This window comes from Homo sapiens, chromosome 7 (assembly GCF_000001405.40).
Source record: "Homo sapiens chromosome 7, GRCh38.p14 Primary Assembly".
Taxonomy (NCBI): domain Eukaryota; kingdom Metazoa; phylum Chordata; class Mammalia; order Primates; family Hominidae; genus Homo; species Homo sapiens.
The window spans coordinates 140,783,338-140,800,996 of record NC_000007.14 but is presented as its reverse complement, the minus strand read 5'-3'; the positions used below and the strand labels follow the sequence as shown (position 1 = coordinate 140,800,996).

General features: G+C 36.9%; 1 protein-coding gene across 19 annotated transcripts in view, besides 1 other annotated feature; it reads left to right on the top strand.

Annotated features, from left to right (window-relative positions):
• The window catches only part of BRAF (B-Raf proto-oncogene, serine/threonine kinase), a 211,602-nt gene that overhangs the window by 123,933 nt on the left and 70,010 nt on the right, over positions 1–17,659 (top strand). For 11 of the 19 annotated variants that reach the window (NM_001378474.1, NM_001378470.1, NM_001378475.1 and 8 more), the window contains 3 exons: positions 516–635; positions 6,530–6,689; positions 13,413–13,449. In NM_001378474.1, the coding sequence (NP_001365403.1) occupies positions 516–635; positions 6,530–6,689; positions 13,413–13,449 (317 nt within the window). Of the gene's footprint in view, positions 1–515; positions 636–6,529; positions 6,690–13,412; positions 13,450–15,188; positions 15,309–17,659 lie in introns of all 19 variants that reach the window. The other 8 variants (XM_017012559.2, NM_001374258.1, XM_047420766.1 and 5 more) reach the window with 2 other exon arrangements.
• Positions 5,975–7,174: an enhancer, noted in NCBI's record as "BRD4-independent group 4 enhancer chr7:140493623-140494822 (GRCh37/hg19 assembly coordinates)". NCBI's record gives its function as "activates an origin of replication core promoter dependent on BRD2, P300/CBP, MED14 and CDK7 cofactors, and independent of BRD4, by STARR-seq in HCT116 cells {active_cell/tissue: HCT116}" and the evidence as "EXISTENCE:reporter gene assay evidence [ECO:0000049][PMID:35650434]".

Sequence of the window (17,659 nt, the reverse complement as noted above, 5' to 3'; positions counted from 1 at the left end):
TTCCCCCAATTTATTTGAGTAAGATGTAAAATTTTTGTATCCAGTATATATCTCTTTCTAAAATTTCTCTTTGCTGTATGCCAGTTTTTCTAATAGATTAGACTGAGTCTATTATCTCTTTTTGTGTCATTGGTGCTGCTGCTGTTAAAGTCTTACTTTTCTTGATCACCTGAGCAAATAAAACTTAACTCTGTACTTTAAGTAAATTATAATGTCACCTAATTTACAGTAGATACTTTTTATTCTCATTCTTTAACCATAAAGCATGATTTTCATCTTGTAGTATGTAGAAATTTGCTGAACTGAATGATTAGTTTTAAGTTATAAGCATGCCTTTGAAAGTGCAATACAATTTTTTTTAAAATAAGCCTTTAGACAAAAATACAACTAATTGAATTTTAACAGTTGTTTCTGAGAATGGAATTTGATCTCAGTTTTTTTGGTTAACTATGTATTTTGGTATATGAAGCTTCTGGGTTTTGCACAAGTTAGGTTTGTTTTGTTTTGCCTCACAGTTTGCTGTTTGTCTCCAAGTTCTTTGAACACCACCCAATACCACAGGAAGAGGCGTCCTTAGCAGAGACTGCCCTAACATCTGGATCATCCCCTTCCGCACCCGCCTCGGACTCTATTGGGTATGGTTTGACTTCTGCTCTTGGGCGACATGCTACTTGAACCGCTTTCTTTTGGATCTCCTGGTTAATTAGAAACCTTTCCAATGTTTAAATTGTTAAATTAAGGACTTTTTCCCCAAATAACTTATCATACCACTCAGATATTTACATGCATTTGATACAAATAAATGGGATTAAAGCTGACATAGACTATTTCAGAATCAGTCCTGAAAAAATCAATATTGGGTATGATTTGACTTCTGCTCTTCAGTGACATGCTTCTTGAACTGCTTTCTTTTGGATCTCCTGGTTAATTAGAAACATTTCCAACATTTAAATGCTTAAATTAAGGATCTTTTCCCCAAATAACTTATTTTATCACACCAGTCAGATATTTACTTGCATTTGGTACAAATAAGTGGGATTAAAGCTGACATAGACTATTTCAGAACCAGTCCTGAAAAAATCATGCAACAGATCATTTTGAGTCTACACCTTGAGTTCATCTTTTATTAGGTATAGAAGTATATGACTTCCACTTATGAAGAAGCATTGATATGTGAGACAATGGCAAACAATGTAAAAATAGTATATAATTATAATCTACAATTTATGATGGAGTATATTGAAGTATGTGATGAGGACATAAATGTATTCATGTTTACAGAAGGAAGAATAGTGAGGAAAAAGAGAGTGCTCAGGAAAACTTAATGAAGAAGGTGGTATTTGAACTAGACTTTAAAGAATTACTACAATCTGAACGGGCCTAGGGAATAGAAGCATGGTGAAAGGGGAATGGAGAAACAACAGATATAAAGGGAATAAACAGATATAAAGGGAATGAAGATGTTAGGTTTAGAAGCTAGTGAAGAAAGGTTTATCTAACTTAAGAACTACCATGTGTAAAACCAGATTATGGAGAGTCTTGGAATTGAGGCCAGAATTTAGACTTAAAGGTCTTTAAGCAGATTACTAACTTGATGAAAATGGCTTTAAAGAAAAAATCAATTAGCAGTGAAATACAGATGGATTGACAGAAAATTTAGGGTGAAGAAGGCCAACCTAGGATGTTGTTGGTAGTGAAAACTGAGAGAGGCAGTGAAGACAAGTTCAAGTGCTAGAAGTATGGAAAAGGGATAGATATTCATAAAGCGTAAAAGAAAAAAATGAACAGTATTATTAATCAGTTGAGGATAAAGCTGAGAAGTGACTTTAAAAATAATGCAAAGGCAGCCGGGTGCGGTGGTTCACGCATGTAATCCCAGCACTTTGGGAGGCTGAGGCGGGCAGATCACGAGGTCAGGAGTTCGAGACCAGCCTGGCCAACATGGTGAAACCCTGTCTCTACTAAAGATACAAAAAAAAAAAAATTAGCTGGGCATGATGGCACACACCTGTAATCCCAGCTACTCAGGAGGCTGAGGCAGGAGAATCACTTGAACCTGGGAGGTGGAGGTTGCAGTGAGCTGAGATCGCACCATTGCACTCCAGCCTGGGTGACAGGTGAGATTCTGTCTCAAAAAAATAAAAATAATGCAAAGGCGTCATTTAAGCTTCATAGTAGGAAATAAAAAGGAAGACACAATAAAGATGAGTTAAGTGGGTATCAGTTTACTTTGGAACATTTCTCGAACTCCTGGCCTCAGGTGATCTTCCTGCCTCAGCCTCCCAAACTGCTAGAATTACAGGCGTGAGACACTGCACCTAATTAGCTTTGGAACATTTCTGACACAGGTCTGTGTACTCTTTCACATTGAATTTGGGGCAGCGTTATTTAGGCTGCGTCTGGAAGCACATGCTTTAAAAAAAAAAAAAAAAAAAAAGGCCGGGCGCGGTGGCTCACTCCTGTAATCCCAGCACTTTGGGAGGCCGAGGCAGGCGGATCACGAGGTCGGGAGATCATGACCATCCTGGCTAACACAGTGAAACCCCGTCTCTACTAAAAATACAAAAACAAAATTAGCCGGGCGTGGTGGCGGGTGCCTGTAGTCCCAGCTACTCAGGAGTCAGGAGGATGGCGTGAACCCAGGAGGTGGAGCTTGTAGCGGGCCGAGATCACGTCACTGCATTCCAGCCTGGGTGACAGAGCAAGACTCCGTCTCAAAAAAAAGAAAAAAAAAGTCCCCATACAGCATTCTGTCCTAGAATATTCCTGAGATGTTAAGATTAGAAATATTTATTGTCAGTTTTAACCCTACTTCCTCCCACTCTTCACAGTGTAATGCCATTTCTTCAGATTTCTACCTAGAGAAATCTTTTCAAAATCAGTTGACATTTTCAGTACAACTTTGTAATTTTTACAAAGCCAACCTTTCTGGTGATCTCATGGGTTAGAAAATTTTGCAAAAGAATTTTGTCTTAAGCAGTGAGTATACTTACCTATTTGGAACACTGGAAAATGCAGCCGTTGTGTTCTCTTGTCAGGTTGTAGCAGTTATCTCTTCTAGTGGAGTCATTTTATTCCCGTTGGCTCTATCACTACTTGTGTGCAGCTGTGTTTTTTTTAGATGGTCAAATCAAAATGTTATTATTTGGTTGGTTTTTAATTAATCTTTTGGTTATAATATTTTCTCCTGACAGATTCTGTAGACCATGATGCCTTTCTAATGGCAGGTCCCAGTTCTGTGAGCAGTTATAAAACACCCTAATGAAATTAGCTTGGCCTCTCTGAAGGTTTATAATGGTAATGATCCAGGACATTTGCCTTCCAGTGAAGGAATGCTATCTTAAAATTAAGAAACCATTTGCCTGTGCCATGAATATTTTATTGGTAACTGAACTGAAATATATTCTGATCTTGAGCAAATGATAAGATGTTCAAACTTGTCTGTAAGTCATTTTCCTGATGTTTTTATGACATAACTCCATATGGTTGTCTCTGTAAAGATAGAAGCCAATCTTGTTCAGTATCAAAACTCTTTTGCAGTTTGTTACTAGTCCTGATAACAATAATAATGGTCATGAAACAAGTGTAATAATGGATGTAATCAAGAAATATTGGAGAAGCAATACATTGCCCAGTTTTGAATACAAAGTGAGAGATACCTCCTTTTCTACTTTTTAAAAATGCTGTAGAATGTATAAATTTGTGAGAGGTCAACATTTAAAATGTACGTATCACCAGACCAAAGTTTTCAAAACTTTTAAATATTCTAGATTAAGAATGAGATCTAAACTAACTGGTAATTTGCTGAAGGGTATTATAATTAAAATTCCTTTTGTCTTTAATTTGGTACTGCTTTAAAGAGGTTTACTGCAAGATAGGTACAGGTATCATTGGGAGAAAGCCAGTTTGCCGACTGCCAAGATACTTCATAGGGTATAAGTTACCTTGGTTAGTGGAAAAATTTCCCAGTATGGTAATGTAATTTTATCGATTCCCAGAAATGATGAGATTGGGAGTTATACTGGTTTGTATTAACTGAAATCAGAAAAAAAATTGAATCAGGATACCAGGTAATATTTTTCAGTGAAAAATATACCTGTTATGTAAATTAGACTTCTTGTGTTGTGTGCGCCACCACTCACTCTTCTTTTGTAAGAGATTTATGGGAAATCAAATTATAATCAGAAGACTGTTTTCGTTAAGCATAGAATTAGGACATGGCTGAGATATTCAATGACATCAGATTATGATCACTTCAAGTGTTCCCTTGTACTTGCCCTGAAAGCTAGAGAAGTTGACTTGGTGGACCAAGACACAACTATTAGATACCAACTACCAAATTGAGTTTCTCTGATTTTGTATAATACGCAGATATCATCATTTTCTAATATATACATTCTTTAGATATGATAGTGAAGTGTCTTAGATTAAATCTGGTTTTTGTTTTTCTTCTGGACCAATGTCTTTTGCATACTTAACTCTGATTTGTTATCTACTACATGTTTCTGTCATATTCCTAACTTGGTGAGTTTCAGAAGTGACTTACTGCCATCTCTGCCTATCCCAGATCAATTATTACAGTAGACTATCTTATGCAATTCTAGTTATTCATACTTTTTCCAATTTTAAGCCTTTTTTTTTTTTTTTTAAGATGGAGTCTCACTTTGTCACCCAGGCGAGTGCAGAGACGTGATCTTGGCTCACTGCAGTCTCTGCCTCCCTGGTTCAAGTGATTCTCCTGCCTCAGCCCCCTGAGTAGCTGGGATTACAGGCCCTTAACACCACACCCAGCTAATTTTTGTATTTTTAGTAGAGACAGGGTTTTACTATGTTGGCCAGGCTGGTCTTGAACTCCTGACCTCAGGTGATCCACCTGCTTTGGCCTCCAAAAGTGCTGGGATTACAGGCATGAGCCACTGCACCTGGCCTGCCTTGAGACTTTAAATCAGCCTGTAAATGGTTGTCAGTCAGTCAGTGCCCTTTCTAAAACTTTATTGACTAATGTCATTTTTGCATTCTTTTTCCTGCTCCTAAAATTTTCTAGCTATAGACATATATTTGGCTACCTAAAGCAAAAATAAAGACAGCTCTGTCAGAAACCAAAAGTTTCTCAATAATCAGAAAAAATAAAAAGGACCTAGATGGAACATGCTAATTTTCCTAAAGGCTTGTTTCTTACCTATAATTCTCATTGAGCCGATACCAATTTTTTTTTAGTACATAATATTTTATTATTTGCATATCAATTCTAAGTGGATTCATTTCATTAATATAAACACATGAAGTCAAAACTTCTTTCCTTATCTTTAATAATATGCTTCAAAGAAGTAAAATTGTGAACTGGTGTGGTTCAGATTCTGACATGTTTTATTCAGAGACTGACTTTCACTGTTAGGCTTCCTTGGCTCTTCAAACCTTTATTCATTCCTTTCCTACTATATTTTTTTCCCATTCCTCACGTCTCACAAAAGTGTCTTTTTATTCCCTCAACATTGTCTTTCTAGCTGTGTCTTAGTAACCACTAATAATTAGTTTGCATAAAATAGGGTGGAATGATAACCAATATGTGAAGAGAGCTTATTGGCACTTAGCCATTCATTGGTCCTGATGGAGTTAAGTGAGACAGCTTACCTCATCTATCAAGTGACACTCATTTCCCCACTCCTAGGATACCCTTTCTGAGGGGCTACATCCTTCCAAGTGTTTACAATCTAGTCTCAAAACTTTAGTGTTCTCTGTGAGTGCCAGGTTCATTTTAGGGTGAGATATCATAGACTATGTTATTTAGCTACCATACCGAAATAGGTATGTAACATATTTTGGTGATTTTCCAAATAGCATACAAATGTAACATTTTGGTGGTTTTCCAAATAGCAGTTTTCAAAAATATTTGCTTTAGTGGTTAATATATGATTCTCTTGTGTCTCTGTTATCAATAATGGGCATGATAAAAAATCCAGAATATGAGAGATATTGGCACTCTGAGGATCATCTTCTGAATTTGAAAAGGATTTTTCAATATTGTTCTGGATTTTCATTCAACTCCTGTAAAGGAACAAGTACATCATTCAGGTCCTGAAATATGCATTTGTATTCTCAAAATATTTATAATTTCTTAATATGTAAAATTTTCATTTTAGTAAATTCAGATGTCAAGACAATGTTAGAAAAAAATGGCAAATTATATTCAGTCATTCTCAGAGCATTTTTATATAACTTCAAAGGTTGAACTTCTTCAGTTGATGGCCACAGGTAATTTCTAGCCATAAGTAAATTTCCCTAGTGTTTTCCAGGTAAGAATCAGTGGTCTTATCATTGATAGTTCCTGGAGGGCCTACTTGAGCAAAGCAGCTTTGGCAGTATTGGATTTTTAAATTAATACTTTTAAAAGTCATTACTGCTAGGTTTTTAATGCTTTAATGATTTTGAGAATATAAAAACAAGAAAATCCTTTTATCTTCCTTTTTAAATATTATTACCTTTATATCGTTACTCTGAATCTTATCTTCCAATGACTTCATTTTTCCAGGCCCCAAATTCTCACCAGTCCGTCTCCTTCAAAATCCATTCCAATTCCACAGCCCTTCCGACCAGCAGATGAAGATCATCGAAATCAATTTGGGCAACGAGACCGATCCTCATCAGCTCCCAATGTGCATATAAACACAATAGAACCTGTCAATATTGATGTAAGTATCCAGCATTGCTAGAACTAAAAAAAAACCAAGTATGTATCTTTATTTTTCTGCTATAATTATAACTTAGATCAGAAATAAGTGCCATTTTTCATTTATCACAGTTATTTTAAGTGATAAGCTTCTTGTGAATCACAAATCAGAAAAGCTTCTGGTTTCTCTCTGATGACATTAAATATTTCACTGACTCCAGGTTATACAGTCACTCTGATTTTTTTCCCTTATGATACCATCTCTATAAAAGTCATCTTCAAATGAAAATGGTTTAAATATCAAAGGACTGATAGAAGCCCTTGACAGAATTAAGTTCTTTAAAACTTTTATAAAAATGATTATGATTGTGCTATAAGAGGTGGATATGAAATTAAGAATTTCAGGCCAGGCATAGTGGCTCATGCCTGTAATCCCAACACTTTGGGAGGCCAAGATGGGTGGAACGCTTGACCCAGAAGTTAGAGACCAGCCTAGGCAACATAGTGAGACCCCATCTCTACCAAAAGTAAAACAAATTAGCCATGCATGGTGAGGCATGCCTGTAGTCCCAGCTACTCTGGAGGGTGAGGTGGGAGGATTGCTTGAGCCCAGGAGGTCAAGGCTGCAGTGAGCTATGTTTGCACCACTGCACTCCAGCCTGAGCAACAGAGTGAGACCCTGTCTCAAAAGAAAAGAATTTCAATTTGTGCTATCATAAGCTTGGCATTATGACCAACAAAAACTTGATTTTTTCTGTGTTTATTTTAAAATTAGCATATAATTGAAACTATAAATTTTATTAAATATTAATATAAAAGAAAAACTTATAAATTTTAATTTTGTAATTTTAGGTAAATTTGCAAATCAGACTTTCTTCCCACTTTTTACTAAGAAATTTTCTCTATTTTTATTGGGTTCATTTTAAGTGACTTTTTTCTAGTACTAGTTTTCCTTAACTAGCAAGGTTCACCTCTATCTAGCAAGACCTAAAAACAAAGGAAGAAAGGGGAAAAGGAGAATGTGATATAAGAAATCAAACCATATGTCCAGGTTAGGGTTGTTCTCAGTCTGTCCAAAATTGCAACCTTCATCTTTACTTTGAAAACTATCATCCTTTTAGACTATTCCCTTTTTCTCTGATTGTTACCACTGTTCCCTGGTATGTTGGGCTTCATTTAGAGTGTCATCTTTGTATCTTGCCTTTTCATCCTCTCTCGTAACCAGTCACAGGGTATCACCTTTTCATGTGCATCTCAAACTGGTTTTTACTTATTACCGCTGCCATTTGGGCCCATATTTTTTCACTTGAATTATATACTACATTAATCTCCTAAATAGATTTTCTGCCATTGATTTCTCTCTATCTATTTCCATTCCTTCTGCAACTGTCAGAATTTTTTTACACTTCTAGCATCATCTGTTCTCTTGTTCCAAAACTTTTAGTGACTTACTGTTGATTACAAGGTAAAGTGCAAACTCTTTAGCATTTTTATTCATGTTCAAGCACTTATGATTCCATTAAAAAGATTTACTAATAACTGTGGGCTATGCATTGTGTTAGGCAATTGGGAATTATTTATGAATTAGCACATGGCCTTTGCCCTCAAGGAAGTCACAGTCTAATAGGTGAATCAAACATTTAAATAGATAATTACAAAATATATAATGGTAGTTTAGAGAAGGGGGTAATAAACTCCATCTGGTTGGATCTAGGAACATTGAGCAGAGAAGGGACAACCTTTAAGCCAGATTATGGTGAATAAGTAGGAGTACACTACATAAGGGGGTTAGGAAAGTCATTTGTTAAGGAAATGAAAGGCATAGAAGTGCCTTTACATGGAATGTAATTAATAGTTGATATTGAAGTTTAGGGTCCAGGAGAAGGCTTGGGGAATGGTGGAAGGTGAAACTAGGCAGGTAATATCTACAGTGAAAGGCTTTGTGTATTACTCTGAAATCTAAAGCAGTGCTAGGGAATCTGAAGAATTTTGATTGGGAGAGGAAGTCATCAGCTCTATATTTTAGAAAAATCTTTGATGGTAGAGTGGAGGATAGATGAAATGGGAAACACATAGAGGCAGGACTGTCAATAATGTGGTTTTTACAGTATTTCAGACAAGAAATGATATTTAAACTCAAGTAATAGCATTGGTGCTGAGAAAGAGTGTGTTTTGGGGAGGGAGACTATGAATTAGTGAATTAGTGGTAAGAGTCTTAGGAATCATGTTGAAAATGACTACTATTTATGAATACTTATTACATACAGGTACTATGCTAAGTGCTTTACGTAGACTTTCTTATTTCATCCTCATAAAAACTCATAGGTTATGTACTATGATTATCTTTATTTTACTGTTAAGAAAATTAGATTTACAGAGGTTAAGAAACATACCCAGATTACACTGCTGATAAATTACTGAAGTGGGTTCAAACCTGGCCTTTCTCTCTTACACTTAACCACTATACTGTTTTGTAGTAGAGGAGAGGAGTGAAAAATATGAGAAGTAGAGGATAATGCCAGGTTTCTGGCTTATAGATACTTAGCTTATAGACCGAGTTTCTGGTAAATAGCACAGTTTGTTAAATACCAAAGGAAAACAAGGTTTGCAGAAGCAGCAATTTTAGCTTTTTGGGGGCATATATTGACTTTAAGATGCCTGTGGGACTTTCAGGTTTAGAAATCCAGTAGCAGTTGGATATAAGGACCTTGAGTAGAGATACAGATTTAGGAGTAATTAGCATATTTATGTCAGTTAAAGCCATGGATGTAAATTGCTCAAAGAGCATATGTAAATTGAAAAGGGGAGAAAATGTAACCCTGATAAACATTAACATTGGAGGTGCAGGCAGAGACTCTCTGTCTCCTTTATGGGCTGGCTCTTCCTAAGTCTAGCCCCAGATAACTAAGAACAAGTGTTGCAGAAGCCAAAGGAAGAAAAGGGGTTTCAAGAATACCAAAGTAGTTGGTGTCAGTTGCCATTACGATTCAAATGAGATAAAGACTGAAAGGACTATCAATTTTGGCAATTGAAATGTCATCTTTACTTCATTGAGAGCTGTTTTAGAGGGCCAGTAAGAGGAGAAGGCAGCAGGTGAGGAAGTAGGATTAAGTGTTAATTTTGAGAAGCTTGGCTGTGAAGGAATGACAAAAGAGGATAGCTTGATTCAGGGTTGAGGGACAATTTTTTTTGGTTTTTCGGGTTTTGTTTTTGTTTTGTTTTGTTTTTTGAGATGGAGTCTTGCTCTGTCACCCAGGCTGGAGTGCAGTGGTGTGATCGCTGCTCACTGCAGCCTCCACCTCCCGGGTTCAAGCAATTCTCCTGCCTCAGCCTCTCGAGTAGCTGCGATTACAGGCTCCCGCCATCATGCCCAGCTAATTTTTGTATTTTTAGTAGGGTTTTGCCATGTTGGCCAAGCTGGTCCTGAACTCCTGACCTCAAGTGATCCGCCCACCTCCGCCTCCCAGAGTGTTGGGATTACAGGCGTGAGCCACTGCACCCAGCCAAGGGACAATTGTTTTTAATGTAAGAGACATTAGTATATTTGTAACTGGAGAGGAAGAAGGCAGTGAAGAGAAATTGAAGATAACAAGAGAGGAAATGATTGATGTAGTAAAATTCCTTGAGCTTGGAAATTATGTCTCTCAGAGACTGTGAAGAATTAAAGATGGACATAGCCAGCTCTGTAACTCTTTACAGACTGTGTGATGTTGGGCAAATTATTTAATCCTGGGGCTAGTAGTGTTTGCCTTCCATAGTGGTTTGAATTGCTTATTATGCCTGGTACATAATAAGAATTCAGAAATTATAGCTAATATTAATATGCAAATAGTTATAGATATTAGAGCAGAAAAGTTGTTTGATGGCTTTTGTTTTCTCTATTATGATGAAGGGAAGGGATGTAAGTAAGAGAAGGAACTACAAAAGAGTGGGAAAAAAGTTGAAATATCCAGTTTTCAAATGCTAGAAGAACCTTTGTAACCTAGAATGAGTAGAAAAGATTGTCAAGGAGCTTTAAGAACACATTCGGAATTTAAAAATCTAAGTTTATGTTGTTACTAGCAGTAACTTGTAAGAGTGGAGAAAGCAAAATTTGGTTAATCCATAGTTGTGGAGAGTTTCAGAGCTGATGCAACAGAAAAGAAAGGGATATGGCCTTTGTCTTGTAGTTCCTTCCACCTGAAAGACTCTTTGCTTTTCTACATGCCTATCTCTGAAACCCCAACTCAGAGTAATTCCTTGACTGCTTTATCAGTGACCAAGTCCTATAGTTATCATACACAGCACTAAAAATCTTATCGGCTGGGTGCAGTGGCTCACACCTGTAATCCCAGCACTTTGGGAGGCCAAGGCAGGCGGATCGCCTGAGGTCAGGAGTTCAAGACCAGCCTGGCCAACATGATGAAACCCCATCTCTACCAAAAATAAAAAATTAGCCGGGCATGGTGGCAGGCGCCTGTAATCCTAGCTACTCGGGAGGCCGAGGCAGGAGAATCGCTGGAACCCAGGAGGCGAAGGTTGCAGTGAGCTAAGATCGTGCCATTGCACTCCAGCCTGGGTGACAAGAGCAAGACTTCATCTCAAAATCTTATCACCTGTATCACTTAGTTGGCAATCAATTGAGCAGCAAACTTTGGCATCTCTTTTATTATATTCTTATGCAATTATTCTTAAATTATTTGATTTTCACTTACTTCCAATGTGTGCATCTTACTTCCCATGAGATTGTAAGCTCTCAAGAATGGAAAGTTAATGACATCACTAGGATTTTTATATTTGTTAGTAGCCATATAACTCCTGTCACCTTCTTTTCAGGTACGTATTTGATTTTTCTGTAGAAAATGTTGAAGACTTTATATGATACATTAAACATGATAGAAATACATCTTTAAAGAATTTACTTTGTTTTAGCCTGTAAACAAAAAGTTGTCTATTTGCAGAGACTATTCAGAGATATTTGGGGCCATTCAATCCCTCATATTTAAGTTAAACTAAATAAACAGACTAATGCAAGTTCTACCCATCAAGGCCCAAATTGCATTACCAGTAGCGACTGTCCCCACTACCATCGTTGTTATAAAGAGCTAAATATATATATAGTTTTTTTTTTGTTTTTTTTCTGTGATGGAGTCTCACTCTGTCACCCAGGCTGGAGTGCAGTGGTGCAATCTCAGCTCACTGCAACCTCCGCCTCACAGGTTCAAGCAATTCTCCTGCCTCAGCCTCCTGAGTATCTAGGATTACAGTCGCGTGCCACCATGCCTGTCTAATTTTTGTATTTTTAGTAGAGATGGTGTTTCACCATGTTGACCAGGCTGGTCTCAAACTCCTAACCTCGTGATCCACCAGCCTCAGCCTCCCAAAGTGCTGGTATTACAGGCTTGAGCCACCGCACCCGGCGCATAAAGAGCTATATTTTAATAATAAAGACAAATTTTAGTGGCCGGTTGCGGCGGCTTATGCATGTAATCCCAGCACTTTGGGAGGCTGAGGTGGACGGATCACCTGAGGTCAGGAGTTCAAGACCAGCCTGGCCAACATGGTGAAACCCCGTCTCTACTAAAAATACAAAAATTAGCCAGGCATGGTGGTGCGTGCTTGTAGTCCCAGGTATTCAGGAGGCTGAGGCAGGAGGATCACTTGAACCCAAGAGGCAGAGGTTGCAATAAGCCAAGATCACGCCACTGCACTCCAGCCTGGGCGACAGAGCAACTGAGTCTCAAAAAAAAGGACAAATTTTAACAAAACCTTTCTATGAGCCACTTTGTTTCTTTCCTCTTCTAGTGTGCCCTTATCCATCCATATTTTTATGATTGTAACCAGTGTACTTTTAATTTTATATTTTTAAATTATACTATAAACATGTTTCATGATTCAAGCTTCATAATTATTTTGGTAGCTGCATAATACTTCATTAAATTGATACACCATAATTTTCTTAACCAAAATATGTCAAAATGCCTATAATAGAGAAATAATTATTTATAACTTTTTAGTATGATGGATAATGTTGCACTAAACATCTTTGTGCATATCACTTTTTCTTCTGAATTATTTCCTTAAGAAAAGTTCCCAGAAGTAGAATTACAGAATCAAAGGATATGAACATTTTTATCTCTCTTAATGTGCACCAGTATAATTTTTTTTAAGGATTGATGAAGCCATTTTTTAAAAATTTATTTATTTCCAAAGTTCAGGGGTACATGTGCAGGATGTGCAGGGTTGTTACGTAGGTCAACATGTGCCACAGCGGTTTGCCACACAGATTATCCCATTACCTCGGTATGAAGCACAGCATCCATTAGTTATTCTTTCTGTTGCTCTTCCTCCTTTTACCATCCACCCTCCAACAGGCCCCAGTATGTGTTGTTTCCCCCATGTGTCCACTTGTTCTTATCATTCAGCTCCCACTTATAAGTGAGAAAACACAGTATTTGGTTTTCTGCTCCTGCATTAGATTGTTGAGGATAATGGAAGCCATTGGTTTTGAATGGCCTGAAATGGACATCAACATTTGATTAGGACTAATAATTGTTTCATTATAGGTTTACATTGGCAAGTGCTTCAAAATTTAGATTGTATTATGTTCACTAGATAATTCCAAATTGTTTTGTGTAATAGTTATAAGATGTATTGTTTTAATTAATAAAATAATTCTTTTAACGTTAGTGGAAAATTCAGTGTTATCGCTACTCTCTGATTATATGCTTGCTTGGAATAAATATACATTACTATTTATTTGTAGGACTTGATTAGAGACCAAGGATTTCGTGGTGATGGAGGTAAGTAGTGATTTCAGGTTTTTTTAAAAACTCAAGGAAACTGCAATTGCTTTGCTGCTTATTTCCTTTATACTTGCCTCTTTCAAGTAACAGACACAGAGAAAAATGTGTAGAGAAACCCAAAATTTTTTTGTTTTTCTGTAGTGTTTGTCATTTACCTCTAATAAAATGTTAACTAGTTTATAACATGAGTAGAAAAGATGACTGGACATAAAAGGAAGTCTTTTTTTTTTTTTTTTTTTTTTTTGAGACGGAGTCTCGCTCTGTCGCCCAGGTTGGAGTGCAGTGGCGCGATCTCGGCTCACTGCAAGCTCCGCCTCCCGGGTTCACGCCATTCTCCTGCCTCAGCCTCCCGAGTAGCTGGGACTACAGGCGCCTGCTACCACGCCCGGCTAATTTTTTGTATTTTTAGTAGAGACGGGGTTTCACCGTGTTAGCCAGGATGGTCTCGATCTCCTGACCTCGTGATCCGCCCGCCTCGGCCTCCCAAAGTGCTGGGATTACAGGCGTGAGCCACCGCGCCCGGCCAAAAGGAAGTCTTAAAATGTATTATCTACAGTTTTAAAATTTCTTCCAGGATCAGACAAGATCGGACACGTTCAGGATGGTATGGCCGTAGACTACAGTTTTAAAATATCTTACCAAGGAAAGATCCTTAATTTTTATACCCGCTTTATTAATTTCTAACCATCTTGAAAGCTATTGTTGATAAATTTCCTTTGTGGGGCTCCACTGATACTTAAAGATTGACCTTAGAATCAGATAAAACTTAACTTTGCTAAATCATTCTGAAGAGGGGGTTTGTCAGACATTATCAACCACTTCCTTCAACTTTCTGGAAGTGTTTTAAATGTACATTTTATAGAACAGACCCATAATGGCAAAGCCCATTTGTCCTCTTCTTAGGTCAGTAAATACACAAATGAGAAACTGAATTGAGATTTCCAACTGAATTTTCATCTAGTATTCACTCTAGCACATAAGACAACATTGCTTAAGAAAATACTTTTTGTAAGCATTACCCTATATAATGTTTTATAAGAGGTGATATTTGAGACTGTCTTGAAGTGTTCTTCCAGGAGGTCCTTTACACTTACCTTCCCTGTTGTCTTCTGCCTAGTAAGGAAGACCTGTAATAACTGCTTATCATGCTTAGAGTTGACCTCTTCACTGTGACCTTCTTTATCTTCAAAATATCTAAGCCCAGACTCAACAATATTTTACATTGAGTAAACATTGTTATAAACCTTCTTTTGTTATGTTTCTGTATACCCATGAAGCAACCAAAATAATAATAAGCCTGCATTCTATACTCTGGACTTGGTATTGATGTTAGCACATAGTTACACAAGCTTTTTTTTTCCTGTTTGTTATTTCATGAACCTGCCAATTAATGTTGCTGCCAGTTTGACTTTCGTATGTCTTAATAGCTGTGGCTTTTGATAATTTTGCCTAATACATCCAGCATTTAAATGTTGCCATCATGTTAGCATCACAAAATTAACTTAGTCATAAACACAGCCTGCTTAGTACCTAAAAGCAAGTGGCATTTCTTGTCCTTTTCATGAGTCACTTTTTAAAAAATCATTGGGATTTTATGAAAATAAGCAGATTTTTGGTCCAGAATTATTTTATGAAACAGGCTTCAATTCATCTTGTTTATTCCCCATGACTTCTTTCATTTCTTCTGTGTGTCTGTCTTCCTGTGTTTGCCTGCCCCTCTCTTTCTCTTCTAACAGCCCCTTTGAACCAGCTGATGCGCTGTCTTCGGAAATACCAATCCCGGACTCCCAGTCCCCTCCTACATTCTGTCCCCAGTGAAATAGTGTTTGATTTTGAGCCTGGCCCAGTGTTCAGAGGTAGTTGGGCTCTTCTTTCTTGTTTTCACCCAAAGCAAACTAAATATAAAACTACAGATGCTGTTTGTGCCTCACCCTCACAGCGTGTGTTTGTAAGTGTGAAAGTTTTCAGTACTAAATTTCTGTTTGGCCTGGCTGGAATGCTTTGAATGTACGTCTCACACGTACTCACTGCCACAAGCTTTCTGTATGCTGTCTGTCATAAATTTTTAAAAGCAAGAAAATCCTGACCTGAGATTTCCATCTTGTTTTTTCGTTATTTTATTACTTCTTGGTCTTGATAATTTCTTAAACTTAGTGGGTGGGAATAAATAAGGTGGGTGGGGAAGAGCTTACTGGATTCCTTTGATTTTAATGCATTTAAGTGATTATTCTTGATGACTTAATATTTGTTAATTTTGTGGTTTTTAAGAAAATTAAAGTGTCAATGGAAACTTCTATTATGAGATTTTATTAGGCTTTTGGCCTTTTTTCAGATTCTGTAATACTAGCAGTGTTTTTTGGGTTTTTCTTTCCCCCAATATGGGATGTGTATATTTTTGTCAAAGGTAGGGAGCTGTTAAAAAAGACAAAAAAAAGATTTATAACATATTTTAGATATTTCAGTGTACTTCAGAAATTTGAGAATTTATCCTTTTAATTATGTCCTAATAGAAGAAAGTTTACAGTATAATTTCATTCTCCCATTTCATCTTGCCATGTTTTATTTAGTAGTTAAACTGATTTGTAAAAACTTAAGTCGGGCCAGGCGCGGTGGCTCACGCCTGTAATCCCAGCACTTTGGGAGGCCGAGGTGGATGGATCACCTGAGGTCAGGAGTTTGAGACCAGCCTGGTCAATGTGGTGAAACCCCGTCTCTACAAAAATACAAAAAAAATTAGCTAGGCATGATGGCGGATGCCTGTAATCCCAGCTACTTGGGAGGCTGAGGCTGGAGAATCGCTTGAACCCAGGAGGCGGAGGTTGCAGTGAGCCGAGATCACACCATTGTACTCCAGCCTGGGTGACAGAGCAAGACTCCATCTCAAAAAAAAAAAAGTAAAAATTGGGACAGATGTCTTTCTCTAAATATTTTTAAAGATTTATATTTACTGACTCTTGCTAGTTAGTATCTGTTATATATTCTGAATGTAGTAATGGTGCTTTAGATTTTTGCTCTCTCAGCCCTGCTGTTTCTCAGAAAATCCATAGAATGGGATGGAAGTCATACAGTAGTGAGTAATACAACTAAATTAAGTGATACAATAAAACTACTTAGTAGATCATAACCGTGAAGCCTGGTCAAGCAGTCGAGGCTTTATAATGTTGAAAATTATCAATGGAAGGTAGAAAATGGATTGTGCTCTACTTAATAGACATTGTGGATACCATTTTATTTTAGAAAATTGCATATGAGATAATGAAAATTCTACATGGTGATATAATATGATGTAATAATGGTAAACATTTTCTACAGATTAAACATTTAAATGTGGTTATTGGTATCCTTGTTATCTGAAAGATAGTGGCTCTTTTTTTCCTTAAGAGTAGCAGTCATTTTTTAAAAAGAATCTATTTTCTTGAGGTCATTTTGTTGTTCTGTATATAGAACTATTGCCTGGACATCTGAGTTCTACTCAGCTGTATTCAGGCCCCAGTAAGATTCACTGCCCTGAACTCTTCTGAACCAGGTGCTACTGTACCTTAACTCAGGATGTTTGCCATGAGAAAGGTATGCAACCCTGCCAACAGAGATCACTTCCAAAGAGTATACTCCTCAGGCTCACTTGACCTATAGAATATTTGTATTTATAGTAACTTGGCTGAGAGGCCATAGCGCTTACTTAACAAAGCTCTCACTTACAAAGGCAGAGATTTTTCAGAAAGTCTTGAGAAATATGCCCGGCTTTATTTACATTAACTTTGTTTTGTAGGTAACAAATAATCTTTGTTTAATAATGTAAGCCTCCAGGAACCAATGATACTGACCAATATCTCTTAAATAGTAGAGCATGTAGTTTAGGATTATATTTGAGTTTAGTGATTAATATGAATAAGTCAGATATTTTCAACATTATGGCCATTATTAGAAAATGTTTCCATCTGGGGATTTCCTTTTTTTTAATATTGATTGGCTGTTGAGGTAATATTAAATAATTAATTAAAAATGTATTTGTTATATAGGCTTTTACATTTATTTTGCTTTTTGATTTTTTTCATCAAAGAAACAGAAACTTGGGAGTATTTTTAGTATTTCTGTCTTGTTTTAGAGAGATTGTTTTTCTCCTAGATTTTGCACCAGTAAATAAAGTATGTGTCTATGTCTATCATCAGATATCTTAAAGGTCATTAAATTGGCCAGAAAACTAAAA